At 39.4% G+C, this 15,350-nt stretch overlaps 1 protein-coding gene across 2 annotated transcripts; it reads left to right on the top strand.

The window, feature by feature from the left end:
• Positions 299-10,867, top strand: IL1A (interleukin 1 alpha). Of its 2 annotated transcripts, none has more exons than NM_000575.5 (7): positions 299-349; positions 1,014-1,068; positions 2,028-2,076; positions 2,966-3,188; positions 5,126-5,296; positions 6,681-6,805; positions 9,525-10,867. In NM_000575.5, exons 2-7 carry the CDS (start codon positions 1,022-1,024, stop codon positions 9,723-9,725), a joined length of 816 nt encoding a protein of 271 aa, NP_000566.3. In that variant the 5' UTR covers positions 299-349; positions 1,014-1,021; the 3' UTR covers positions 9,726-10,867. The 2 variants fall into 2 exon arrangements, with proteins under 2 accessions (NP_000566.3, NP_001358483.1); NM_001371554.1 differs by lacking the exon at positions 299-349 and adding an exon at positions 392-477.

Below are 15,350 nucleotides of genomic sequence, written 5' to 3'. Positions count from 1 at the left end.
CTAGAAACTTGATAAGTTTCCCGCGCTTCCCTTTTTCTAAGACTACATGTTTGTCATCTTATAAAGCAAAGGGGTGAATAAATGAACCAAATCAATAACTTCTGGAATATCTGCAAACAACAATAATATCAGCTATGCCATCTTTCACTATTTTAGCCAGTATCGAGTTGAATGAACATAGAAAAATACAAAACTGAATTCTTCCCTGTAAATTCCCCGTTTTGACGACGCACTTGTAGCCACGTAGCCACGCCTACTTAAGACAATTACAAAAGGCGAAGAAGACTGACTCAGGCTTAAGCTGCCAGCCAGAGAGGGAGTCATTTCATTGGCGTTTGAGTCAGCAAAGGTATTGTCCTCACATCTCTGGCTATTAAAGTATTTTCTGTTGTTGTTTTTCTCTTTGGCTGTTTTCTCTCACATTGCCTTCTCTAAAGCTACAGCCTCTCCTTTCTTTTCTTGTCCCTCCCTGGTTTGGTATGTGACCTAGAATTACAGTCAGATTTCAGAAAATGATTCTCTCATTTTGCTGATAAGGACTGATTCGTTATACTGAGGGACAGCAGAACTAGTTTCCTATGAGGGCATGGGTGAATACAACTGAGGCTTCTCATGGGAGGGAATCTCTACTATCCAAAATTATTAGGAGAAAATTGAAAATTTCCAACTCTGTCTCTCTCTTACCTCTGTGTAAGGCAAATACCTTATTCTTGTGGTGTTTTTGTAACCTCTTCAAACTTTCATTGATTGAATGCCTGTTCTGGCAATACATTAGGTTGGGCACATAAGGAATACCAACATAAATAAAACATTCTAAAAGAAGTTTACGATCTAATAAAGGAGACAGGTACATAGCAAACTAATTCAAAGGAGCTAGAAGATGGAGAAAATGCTGAATGTGGACTAAGTCATTCAACAAAGTTTTCAGGAAGCACAAAGAGGAGGGGCTCCCCTCACAGATATCTGGATTAGAGGCTGGCTGAGCTGATGGTGGCTGGTGTTCTCTGTTGCAGAAGTCAAGATGGCCAAAGTTCCAGACATGTTTGAAGACCTGAAGAACTGTTACAGGTAAGGAATAAGATTTATCTCTTGTGATTTAATGAGGGTTTCAAGGCTCACCAGAATCCAGCTAGGCATAACAGTGGCCAGCATGGGGGCAGGCCGGCAGAGGTTGTAGAGATGTGTACTAGTCCTGAAGTCAGAGCAGGTTCAGAGAAGACCCAGAAAAACTAAGCATTCAGCATGTTAAACTGAGATTACATTGGCAGGGAGACCGCCATTTTAGAAAAATTATTTTTGAGGTCTGCTGAGCCCTACATGAATATCAGCATCAACTTAGACACAGCCTCTGTTGAGATCACATGCCCTGATATAAGAATGGGTTTTACTGGTCCATTCTCAGGAAAACTTGATCTCATTCAGGAACAGGAAATGGCTCCACAGCAAGCTGGGCATGTGAACTCACATATGCAGGCAAATCTCACTCAGATGTAGAAGAAAGGTAAATGAACACAAAGATAAAATTACGGAACATATTAAACTAACATGATGTTTCCATTATCTGTAGTAAATACTAACACAAACTAGGCTGTCAAAATTTTGCCTGGATATTTTACTAAGTATAAATTATGAAATCTGTTTTAGTGAATACATGAAAGTAATGTGTAACATATAATCTATTTGGTTAAAATAAAAAGGAAGTGCTTCAAAACCTTTCTTTTCTCTAAAGGAGCTTAACATTCTTCCCTGAACTTCAATTAAAGCTCTTCAATTTGTTAGCCAAGTCCAATTTTTACAGATAAAGCACAGGTAAAGCTCAAAGCCTGTCTTGATGACTACTAATTCCAGATTAGTAAGATATGAATTACTCTACCTATGTGTATGTGTAGAAGTCCTTAAATTTCAAAGATGACAGTAATGGCCATGTGTATGTGTGTGACCCACAACTATCATGGTCATTAAAGTACATTGGCCAGAGACCACACTGAAATAACAACAATTACATTCTCATCATCTTATTTTGACAGTGAAAATGAAGAAGACAGTTCCTCCATTGATCATCTGTCTCTGAATCAGGTAAGCAAATGACTGTAATTCTCATGGGACTGCTATTCTTACACAGTGGTTTCTTCATCCAAAGAGAACAGCAATGACTTGAATCTTCAATACTTTTGTTTTACCCTCACTAGAGGTCCAGAGACCTGTCTTTCATTATAAGTGAGACCAGCTGCCTCTCTAAACTAATAGTTGATGTGCATTGGCTTCTCCCAGAACAGAGCAGAACCATCCCAAATCCCTGAGAACTGGAGTCTCCTGGGGCAGGCTTCATCAGGATGTTAGTTATGCCATCCTGAGAAAGGCCCCGCAGGCCGCTTCACCAGGTGTCTGTCTCCTAACGTGATGTGTTGTGGTTGTCTTCTCTGACACCAGCATCAGAGGTTAGAGAAAGTCTCCAAACATGAAGCTGAGAGAGAGGAAGCAAGCCAGTTGAAAGTGAGAAGTCTACAGCCACTCATCAATCTGTGTTATTGTGTTTGGAGACCACAAATAGACACTATAAGTACTGCCTAGTATGTCTTCAGTACTGGCTTTAAAAGCTGTCCCCAAAGGAGTATTTCTAAAATATTTTGAGCATTGTTAAGCAGATTTTTAACCTCCTGAGAGGGAACTAATTGGAAAGCTACCACTCACTACAATCATTGTTAACCTATTTAGTTACAACATCTCATTTTTGAGCATGCAAATAAATGAAAAAGTCTTCCTAAAAAAATCATCTTTTTATCCTGGAAGGAGGAAGGAAGGTGAGACAAAAGGGAGAGAGGGAGGGAAGCCTAATGAAACACCAGTTACCTAAGACCAGAATGGAGATCCTCCTCACTACCTCTGTTGAATACAGCACCTACTGAAAGAACTTTCATTCCCTGACCATGAACAGCCTCTCAGCTTCTGTTTTCCTTCCTCACAGAAATCCTTCTATCATGTAAGCTATGGCCCACTCCATGAAGGCTGCATGGATCAATCTGTGTCTCTGAGTATCTCTGAAACCTCTAAAACATCCAAGCTTACCTTCAAGGAGAGCATGGTGGTAGTAGCAACCAACGGGAAGGTTCTGAAGAAGAGACGGTTGAGTTTAAGCCAATCCATCACTGATGATGACCTGGAGGCCATCGCCAATGACTCAGAGGAAGGTAAGGGGTCAAGCACAATAATATCTTTCTTTTACAGTTTTAAGCAAGTAGGGACAGTAGAATTTAGGGGAAAATTAAACGTGGAGTCAGAATAACAAGAAGACAACCAAGCATTAGTCTGGTAACTATACAGAGGAAAATTAATTTTTATCCTTCTCCAGGAGGGAGAAATGAGCAGTGGCCTGAATCGAGAATACTTGCTCACAGCCATTATTTCTTAGCCATATTGTAAAGGTCGTGTGACTTTTAGCCTTTCAGGAGAAAGCAGTAATAAGACCACTTACGAGCTATGTTCCTCTCATACTAACTATGCCTCCTTGGTCATGTTACATAATCTTTTCGTGATTCAGTTTCCTCTACTGTAAAATGGAGATAATCAGAATCCCCCACTCATTGGACTGCTGTAAAGATTAAGAGTCTCAGGCTTTACAGACTGAGCTAGCTGGGCCCTCCTGACTGTTATAAAGATTAAATGAGTCAACATCCCCTAACTTCTGGACTAGAATAATGTCTGGTACAAAGTAAGCACCCAATAAATGTTAGCTATTACTATCATTATTATTATTATTTTATTTTATTTTTTTGAGATGGAGTCTGGCTCTGTCACCCAGGCTGGAGTGCAGTGGCGCAATCTCGGCTCACTGCAAGCTCTGCCTCCTGGGTTCATGCCATTCTCCTGCCTCAGCCTCCTGAGTAGCTGGGAATACAGGCACCCGCCACTGTTCCCGGCTAATTTTTTGTATTTTTAGTAGAGACGGAGTTTCACCGTGGTCTCCATCTCCTCGTGATCCACCCACCTTGGCCTCCCAAAGTGCCGGGATTACAGGCGTGAGCCACCGCGCCCGGCCTATGATTATTATTATTATTACTACTACTACTACCTATATGAATACTACCAGCAATACTAATTTATTAATGACTGGATTATGTCTAAACCTCACAAGAATCCTACCTTCTCATTTTACATAAAAGGAAACTAAGCTCATTGAGATAGGTAAACTGCCCAATGGCATACATCTGTAAGTGGGAGAGCCTCAAATCTAATTCAGTTCTACCTGAGTAAAAAAATCATGGTTTCTCCTCCATCCCTTTACTGTACAAGCCTCCACATGAACTATAAACCCAATATTCCTGTTTTTAAGATAATACCTAAGCAATAACGCATGTTCACCTAGAAGGTTTTAAAATGTAACAAAATATAAGAAAATAAAAATCACTCATATCGTCAGTGAGAGTTTACTACTGCCAGCACTATGGTATGTTTCCTTAAAATCTTTGCTATACACATACCTACATGTGAACAAATATGTCTAACATCAAGACCACACTATTTACAACTTTATATCCAGCTTTTCTTACTTAGCAATGTATTGAGGACATTTTAGAGTGCCCGTTTTTCACCATTATAAGCAATGCAACAATGAACATCTGTATAAATAAATATTCATTTCTCTCACCCTTTATTTCCTTAGAATATATTCCTAGAAGTAGAATTTCCCAGAGCCATGAGGATTTGTGACGCTATTGATATGTGCCACTTTGCACTCTCTGTGACATATATAATTATTTTTAATGCATTCTTTTTTTCTCAGAGTGCATTCATTTGAAAACATAGACGGGAAATACTGGTAGTCTTCCTTGTCAGTTAGAAACACCCAAACAATGAAAAATGAAAAAGTTGCACAAATAGTCTCTAAAAACAATGAAACTATTGCCTGAGGAATTGAAGTTTAAAAAGAAGCACATAAGCAACAACAAGGATAATCCTAGAAAACCAGTTCTGCTGACTGGGTGATTTCACTTCTCTTTGCTTCCTCATCTGGATTGGAATATTCCTAATATCCCCTCCAGAACTATTTTCCCTGTTTGTACTAGACTGTGTATATCATCTGTGTTTGTACATAGACATTAATCTGCACTTGTGATCATGGTTTTAGAAATCATCAAGCCTAGGTCAGCACCTTTTAGCTTCCTGAGCAATGTGAAATACAACTTTATGAGGATCATCAAATACGAATTCATCCTGAATGACGCCCTCAATCAAAGTATAATTCGAGCCAATGATCAGTACCTCACGGCTGCTGCATTACATAATCTGGATGAAGCAGGTACATTAAAATGGCACCAGACATTTCTGTCATCCTCCCCTCCTTTCATTTACTTATTTATTTATTTCAATCTTTCTGCTTGCAAAAAACATACCTCTTCAGAGTTCTGGGTTGCACAATTCTTCCAGAATAGCTTGAAGCACAGCACCCCCATAAAAATCCCAAGCCAGGGCAGAAGGTTCAACTAAATCTGGAAGTTCCACAAGAGAGAAGTTTCCTATCTTTGAGAGTAAAGGGTTGTGCACAAAGCTAGCTGATGTACTACCTCTTTGGTTCTTTCAGACATTCTTACCCTCAATTTTAAAACTGAGGAAACTGTCAGACATATTAAATGATTTACTCAGATTTACCCAGAAGCCAATGAAGAACAATCACTCTCCTTTAAAAAGTCTGTTGATCAAACTCACAAGTAACACCAAACTAGGAAGATCTTTATTATCTCTGATAACATATTTGTGAGGCAAAACCTCCAATAAGCTACAAATATGGCTTAAAGGATGAAGTTTAGTGTCCAAAAACTTTTATCACACACATCCAATTTTCATGGCGGACATGTTTTAGTTTCAACAGTATACATATTTTCAAAGGTCCAGAGAGGCAATTTTGCAATAAACAAGCAAGACTTTTTCTGATTGGATGCACTTCAGCTAACATGCTTTCAACTCTACATTTACAAATTATTTTGTGTTCTATTTTTCTACTTAATATTATTTCTGCAATTTTCCCAATATTGACATCGTGTATGTATTTGCCATTTTTAATATCACTAGACAATTCAATCAGGTTGCTACGTTGGTCCCTTGGGTTTACTCTAAATAGCTTGATTGCAAATATCTTTGTATATATTATTGTTTTTTCTCCTATCTTGTAATTTCTTTGAGCACATCCCAAAGAGGAATGCCTAGATCAATGGGCACAAATAATTTGACAGCTCTTATTAAACATTATTCTGTAAGTAAAAACTGAACTACTTTTCAGTATCACTAGCAACATATGAGTGTATCAGCTTCCTAAACCCCTCCATGTTAGGTCATTATGAACTTATGATCTAACAAATTACAGGGTCTTATCCCACTAATGAAATTATAAGAGATTCAACACTTATTCAGCCCCGAAGGATTCATTCAACGTAGAAAATTCTAAGAACATTAACCAAGTATTTACCTGCCTAGTGAGTGTGGAAGACATTGTGAAGGACACAAAGATGTATAGAATTCCATTCCTGACTTCCAGGTATTTACACCATAGGTGGGGACCTAACTACACACACACACACACACACACACACACACACACACACACCATGCACACACAATCTACATCAACACTTGATTTTATACAAATACAATGAATTTACTTTCTTTTTGGTTCTTCTCTTCACCAGTGAAATTTGACATGGGTGCTTATAAGTCATCAAAGGATGATGCTAAAATTACCGTGATTCTAAGAATCTCAAAAACTCAATTGTATGTGACTGCCCAAGATGAAGACCAACCAGTGCTGCTGAAGGTCAGTTGTCCTTTGTCTCCAACTTACCTTCATTTACATCTCATATGTTTGTAAATAAGCCCAATAGGCAGACACCTCTAACAAGGTGACACTGTCCTCTTTCCTTCCTACCACAGCCCCCACCTGCCCACCCCACTCCCATTGATTCCAGAGGCGTGCCTAGGCAGGCTCTATGAGAAAATATAACAGAGAGTAAGAGGAAAATTACCTTCTTTCTTTTTCCTTTCCCTGCCTGACCTTATTCACCTCCCATCCCAGAGCATCCATTTATTCCATTGATCTTTACTGACATCTATTATCTGACCTACACAATACTAGACATTAGGACAATGTGGCCTGCCTCCAAGAAACTCAAATAAGCCAACTGAGATCAGAGAGGATTAATCACCTGCCAATGGGCACAAAGCAACAAGCTGGGAGCCAAGTCCCAAAATGGGGCCTGCTGCTTCCAGTTCCCCTCTCTCTGCATTGATGTCAGCATTATCCTTCGTCCCAGTCCTGTCTCCACTACCACTTTCCCCCTCAAACACACACACACACAACAGCCTTAGATGTTTTCTCCACTGATAAGTAGGTGACTCAATTTGTAAGTATATAATCCAAGACCTTCTATTCCCAAGTAGAATTTATGTGCCTGCCTGTGCTTTTCTACCTGGATCAAGTGATGTCTACAGAGTAGGGCAGTAGCTTCATTCATGAACTCATTCAACAAGCATTATTCACTGAGAGCCTTCTATTTTTCAGGCATAGTGCCAACAGCAGTGTGGACAGTGGTGCATCAAAGCCTCTAGTCTCATAGAACTTAGTCTTCTGGAGGATATGGAAAACAGACAACCCAAACAACCAACAAAAGAGCAAGATGCTGCAAAAAAAAAAAAAAATGAATAGGGTGCTAAGATAGAGAAAAGTGGGAGAGTGCTATTTAGACAAAGTGGTAAAAACAAAGCCCCTTGTGAGATGAGAGCTGCCGACAGGAGGGGGCGGGTCATGGTTGTGGGTTTTTGGGTAGGACATTCAGAGGAGGGGGCGGGTCGTGGTTGTGGGTTTTTGGGTAGGACATTCAGAGGAGGGGGCGGGTCGTGGTTGTGGGTTTTTGGGTAGGACATTCAGAGGAGGGGGCGGGTCGTGGTTGTGGGTTTTTGGGTAGGACATTCAGAGGAGGGGGCGGGTCGTGGTTGTGGGTTTTTGGGTAGGACATTCAGAGGAGGGGGCGGGTCGTGGTTGTGGGTTTTTGGGTAGGACATTCAGAGGAGGGGGCGGGTCGTGGTTGTGGGTTTTTGGGTAGGACATTCAGAGGAGGGGGCGGGTCGTGGTTGTGGGTTTTTGGGTAGGACATTCAGAGGAGGGGGCGGGTCGTGGTTGTGGGTTTTTGGGTAGGACATTCAGAGGAGGGGGCGGGTCGTGGTTGTGGGTTTTTGGGTAGGACATTCAGAGGAGGGGGCGGGTCGTGGTTGTGGGTTTTTGGGTAGGACATTCAGAGGAGGGGGCGGGTCGTGGTTGTGGGTTTTTGGGTAGGACATTCAGAGGAGGGGGCGGGTCATGGTTGTGGGTTTTTGGGACATTCAGAGGAGTCTGAATGCACCCAGGCCTACAACTTCAAGATGGTAAAGGACAGCTCCAAGGATCAGAAGAAGCATTCTTGGAACTGGGGCATTTTGAGAAGGAGGAAAAATATGCAGAGACTAGTGCTTGCAGAGCTTGCATTTGGATTTCATTTGAGGTACAATGAAAACCCATTAATGGGTTTCACACAGTGCAATGGCCTGACCTCACTTATATTTCCTAAAATAGAAAACAGATCAGAAGGAAGGCAATAGAGAAGCAGAAAGTCCAATGAGGAGGTTTCACAGCAGTCATGGGGGTGGGGTAAGGAAAAGAAGTGGAAAGAAACAGACAGAATTGGGTTATATTTTGGAGATAGAACCAACAGAAGGAAGAGGAGAAACAACATTTACTGAGAAGGGAAAAAGTAGGAGAGGAATAGGTTTGGGAAATAAATCCTGCTGACATTGGAAACCCCAAGGAAGCCTCAAAAGTATATTTACTTGCTTTAGATTTAAAAGAATAGGAAAGAAGCATCTCAACTTGGAATTTGAAATCTATTTTTCCATAAAAGTATTGTTAAATTCTACTCATACTCACAAGAAAAGTACATTCTAAAGAGTATATTGAAAGAGTTTACTGATATACTTAGGAATTTTGTGTGTATGTGTGTGTGTGTATGTGTGTGCGTGTGTTTAACCTTCAATTGTTGACTTAAATACTGAGATAAATGTCATCTAAATGCTAAATTGATTTCCAAAGGTATGATTTGTTCACTTGGAGATCAAAATGTTTAGGGGGCTTAGAATCACTGTAGTGCTCAGATTTGATGCAAAATGTCTTAGGCCTATGTTGAAGGCAGGACAGAAACAATGTTTCCCTCCTACCTGCCTGGATACAGTAAGATACTAGTGTCACTGACAATCTTCATAACTAATTTAGATCTCTCTCCAATCAACTAAGGAAATCAACTCTTATTAATAGACTGGGCCACACATCTACTAGGCATGTAATAAATGCTTGCTGAATGAACAAATGAATGAAGAGCCTATAGCATCATGTTACAGCCATAGTCCTAAAGTGCTGTTTCTCATGAAGGCCAAATGCTAAGGGATTGAGCTTCAGTCCTTTTTCTACCATCTTGTTCTCTAACAGAATTCTCTTCTTTTCTTCATAGGAGATGCCTGAGATACCCAAAACCATCACAGGTAGTGAGACCAACCTCCTCTTCTTCTGGGAAACTCACGGCACTAAGAACTATTTCACATCAGTTGCCCATCCAAACTTGTTTATTGCCACAAAGCAAGACTACTGGGTGTGCTTGGCAGGGGGGCCACCCTCTATCACTGACTTTCAGATACTGGAAAACCAGGCGTAGGTCTGGAGTCTCACTTGTCTCACTTGTGCAGTGTTGACAGTTCATATGTACCATGTACATGAAGAAGCTAAATCCTTTACTGTTAGTCATTTGCTGAGCATGTACTGAGCCTTGTAATTCTAAATGAATGTTTACACTCTTTGTAAGAGTGGAACCAACACTAACATATAATGTTGTTATTTAAAGAACACCCTATATTTTGCATAGTACCAATCATTTTAATTATTATTCTTCATAACAATTTTAGGAGGACCAGAGCTACTGACTATGGCTACCAAAAAGACTCTACCCATATTACAGATGGGCAAATTAAGGCATAAGAAAACTAAGAAATATGCACAATAGCAGTTGAAACAAGAAGCCACAGACCTAGGATTTCATGATTTCATTTCAACTGTTTGCCTTCTACTTTTAAGTTGCTGATGAACTCTTAATCAAATAGCATAAGTTTCTGGGACCTCAGTTTTATCATTTTCAAAATGGAGGGAATAATACCTAAGCCTTCCTGCCGCAACAGTTTTTTATGCTAATCAGGGAGGTCATTTTGGTAAAATACTTCTTGAAGCCGAGCCTCAAGATGAAGGCAAAGCACGAAATGTTATTTTTTAATTATTATTTATATATGTATTTATAAATATATTTAAGATAATTATAATATACTATATTTATGGGAACCCCTTCATCCTCTGAGTGTGACCAGGCATCCTCCACAATAGCAGACAGTGTTTTCTGGGATAAGTAAGTTTGATTTCATTAATACAGGGCATTTTGGTCCAAGTTGTGCTTATCCCATAGCCAGGAAACTCTGCATTCTAGTACTTGGGAGACCTGTAATCATATAATAAATGTACATTAATTACCTTGAGCCAGTAATTGGTCCGATCTTTGACTCTTTTGCCATTAAACTTACCTGGGCATTCTTGTTTCAATTCCACCTGCAATCAAGTCCTACAAGCTAAAATTAGATGAACTCAACTTTGACAACCATGAGACCACTGTTATCAAAACTTTCTTTTCTGGAATGTAATCAATGTTTCTTCTAGGTTCTAAAAATTGTGATCAGACCATAATGTTACATTATTATCAACAATAGTGATTGATAGAGTGTTATCAGTCATAACTAAATAAAGCTTGCAACAAAATTCTCTGACACATAGTTATTCATTGCCTTAATCATTATTTTACTGCATGGTAATTAGGGACAAATGGTAAATGTTTACATAAATAATTGTATTTAGTGTTACTTTATAAAATCAAACCAAGATTTTATATTTTTTTCTCCTCTTTGTTAGCTGCCAGTATGCATAAATGGCATTAAGAATGATAATATTTCCGGGTTCACTTAAAGCTCACATTACACATACACAAAACATGTGTTCCCATCTTTATACAAACTCACACATACAGAGCTACATTAAAAACAACTAATAGGCCAGGCACGGTGGCTCAGACCTGTAATCCCAGCACTTTGGGAGGCCAAGGTGGGAAGATCACTTGAGGTCAGGAGTTCAAGACCAGCCTAGGCAACATAGTGAGATCTCATCTCTACAAAAAAAAATGAAAAATTAAAAAATGAGCTGGACATGGTAGTACACACCTGTAGTCCCAGCTACTCGGGAGGCTTGAGGTGGGAGGATCACTTGAGCCTGGGAGATGGAGGCTGCAGTGAGCCATAATCACACCATTGCACCCCAACCTGGGCAACAGAGTGAGACCCAGTCTCAAAAGATAAATTTTTAAAAATGTTAAAAAATATATAAAAGAGAATTTTAAAAGAACAACTAATAGATCAAAGCATGGATGCAAGATATATTTAGTTGGAAAATCAAGGTTAAAATCAAGGGATCTTGGAATTAGGTGTGGTAGATTTGGGTAAGGAGTAGTCTAAGATGACCCTGTTTCTTGGTACTGGAGACTGGATGAGTGGCAGCGTCTTAACCATATTTTTGGTAGAAATATGGAGGTCTTCTCCATTCCAGGATGAATGATGAGTAAAATTTTAGGCATGTAATTTGAGCTACTAGAAGGACACTCAATTGCAGATGTACAATGGGGAGATGATAACCTATCTGGAACTCAGAAAAATAACTGTATATAGATATGAAAGACATCAGTAGGTATGTAGTAGATAAAATCCTAAAAGTGATGTCAAAGGGAGAAGAGAAGTATATGGTGAACACTGTTGTTTGTCCATGCAATTGCCATCTCTTCTTCTTCCTTACTGACAGAACCCTGATTTCACTGAGAAGTCAACATGCCCTTCCCCAATTGATGAATCCAATTGGTTTAAGATTATGTTCATTCTATTCTTACATGACTAAGTCACGTTGACTTAATCCTATCAAATGAGATGTCGATCTGGAAACAACTTCTGGAAAAGATTTTCTACCTTGATAAAATAAAGAGCCATATAGATGGTCCTTTATCTTCCTTCTTCCTTGAATGAGATATGTTCTATGAGGAAGTGAAGCTTAGAACTGTGGTCAGCAACTTGCAACGACTGGGAAGTCAGAGCCACACAATGAAGAATGCAGAGTGGAAGGAGAAAAAGAGCCAGCATCTCTGACAACATTGTTACACCGAGAACCTACCTCCAGATTTTAAGAAAACAAGAAATGCTACTGTTATTAAGCCATTTCACTGGGTTTGCTATGACTTGCAGTCAAATCTAGCTTAACTGATACAGAGCACCACAGAGAACTGGTCTCTCATTTGTCTCATCCTGTTCTTTCTAGCAGCCACGACTTTCCTAGGGTTTCCTTAGCCCAAGTCTGGCTAGAGCAAGACTAAGTAAGACTTGATTCCTTAATGTCCTTTTGTTTTAAGAAATATTAAAGAATTATTTTTATATTAATATATTTTAAGAAATAAGGAAATACAAAACACTGAGCAAGCAACACAAATTCAAGAAATCTTAAAAAGTATAATAGCTGCTCAGTCTCTGATTAACAGTGAAATATGGAATCATTGTAGAAATGGCCTTGGAGCGTTATTCTCCCAGGCCAGCTATCCTTATGGTCTGCCCCACCTCCCTCATTGCCTAAACAGTAAGAGAGTCACCATGGTGAGACTCAACAGTCTTAGCACAGAACTTGTTACAGTCTATTTCTTTTCTTACAGTCCTATATATCAAGTTCCAAATCAATGAGAGTAAAGCCAAATCCCTGCCTTTAAACCCAAGGGACAGAAGCAAAAAGCCAAAAGATATTTCCCTAACCTTCCTCCCACTGAGTAGACTCCTCTGACATTTAAAAACCCCTACGCTTGAAATTTGAGGGGTGATGGAATTGTTGAGATGGTAATAATTATTGTGGTGGATATAAAATATGCTCGTGTATCTATATCTCTGAATGACTGAATGATTTATAAGTTTAATGGTTATATACATTTCTGACTTTTAAAAATGAATGTATGAGTATATGACAATATAATAATTTACAAAAAAAATTTATTATCTATAGCACCTCATTGAACTATACATAAAATAGATTAAATTATACCTCAGTAACAAAGGATTTTTTTTAATTTACAAGGAAAAAACTCTTTATTCCATTTATCGCGTTGTGTATCCAGAGTGGTCTTTTTTTTTTTTTTTTTTGTACCCTCTCTCAACCCTAGGCATGAGATGTTCATTTATCCTAAAATGCTCTATAGGGTAATTTACCTTTCTTGTGGATACATTGTTTGCATTTCCCTGTCATTGGCTCTCACTGGCCAAGAACACCTTTGCTCCTTCTTCTCTAAAACTTATTCCTCACCAATTTTTCTTTTTATCAGAGTGGCTGACAAAGGGTGTTATGCAACCTTATGAGCTCTGCAGGGTAAACTGAGGTCTGGCTCAAAAGTATACATCCCTGGGCCTCACCTCTGGAGATTCAGTCAGTTTGGGTAGACCTTGAGCATCTTAATTTTTTTAAGCTCCAAAAGTAACTCTCATGTTTATCACTGGTTAAGAACCACTGCATGAAGAGAGTCCCAGATTAAGGATGGTTTTATTATAGTGTTAATAATGGCTTCCTTTTGGGCAAGTCAATCCAGGGTTAGAAAAGATGAGAACACACAACTTCCACCTATCCAGTAGAGGCCTTCTCACAGCCACAGGGACACCGGCAGGCCTCATTTGGAAATAAGGTACTCAACAGCACAAGTACCCCCATTTTATATACTCACTTATACTTGCGTAGAAGCTGAGGGGCCTGCCAAGCAGGTGCTTGCCTTTGGTGTCACTCTTCCAAAAGGTCTGGAGTGCTTTGCCCAATTGAGAGAGGCCTATGGAATAAGAAAAACATGAGTGGATGGTCCCTGTCTTATCTTCTCAACTGTCCACACTCTAAAAAACGACTTTGGCTCCTAGCATGACAAGAGCCTTGATTTTCAGAGGAACACTCCCTTCTCATCTCCACCAAGAAGTAGAGCTAATTTCCTTCCACACAGCTCCTATTCACTATTTCGTAGATGGTGAAGTCATTTCTTTGTCATGTAAGGAGAAATGCTGTTACTATTTTTTAAAACAGAAAGGAGAGGGTTTATGGAGATTACAGACAGGTATTCTTGATACGAATGTATTGCATCAATTTAGAAGATTTTTCAACAGATGTTTTGTGCATATGTAGAATAAAATGCTGCAATCTCAAGGTCTCAGGCTGGGATCACTAAGAACAAGTCATGCTGCAGACCTCATTACCACTTTTGATGGGATTACCTGAGTGGCATTGGCAGGTATATCTCTATTGTGGCAGTGAGTGGACTGTGGCTTAATGTCATTAAGCATTTGGATCAGATAGATAATTCATCTTGTTCTGATCCATACCAAAGGAGTTTTCTTGAAGTTGTTTTGTGTTTGTTTTTGTTTGTAGAGACAGGGTCTCACTATGTTGCCCAGGCTGTTCTCAAACTCCTGTCATCAAGCGACCCTCCCACCTTGACCTCCCAAAGTGCTGGAATTACAAGTGTAAGCCCCTGCACCTGGCCTTCACCAAAGGACGTTCTTATTATAGATTTCCTGCATATTTGCCTACAGGAAGATGATGCACTGGCTAGAGGTGTGAATGTCAGGTCTCTTCTGCCATTCTAACCCTGTTATAAAGTAAAATTGGCTCTCCATCTTATAATTTAGTCTCCTTGAATTTAGAATACTGTAGAGTTTGGAATCAAGACCGGATTCAAATCTCATTTACTTTGTGATTTGTGCTAGTCTTTTAATCTCTCAATGTCAGTTTCCTTACTTGTAAAAATGGAGATAGTCATTACTATTAACACATCAAATATTTGTAATATCAAATGAGATAAAATACAGAAAGAGCTTAGCATAGCACCATGGATTTAGAGTGTTTGATTCATTCATTATTTTACTTAAAAGTAGCTATTATCACTTTTACTTAGTGAATGCATCCCTGAGAATCTAATCCACAATCACGATACCAATTAAATCAAGTTCCTGAATCCACACTGAGGGTTGGCTCAAGCAATTCTCCCACCTGGGTGAAGGTAAATATTCTACAAACCATCAGGTAAAGTTACTTGACCAGCCAGTCAGCCATCTTTGGTGACTTCAACCCAGCCATACTTATTTCTTTTCTGGGAGGGTTGGGGGTGTGGTTCATAGAGATGGGGTCTCTCTATGTT

Source organism: Homo sapiens, chromosome 2, assembly GCF_000001405.40.
Source record: "Homo sapiens chromosome 2, GRCh38.p14 Primary Assembly".
Lineage (NCBI taxonomy): Eukaryota > Metazoa > Chordata > Mammalia > Primates > Hominidae > Homo > Homo sapiens.
Note: the sequence above shows the minus strand (reverse complement) of the source record. Positions and strands in the feature narration are given on the sequence as shown.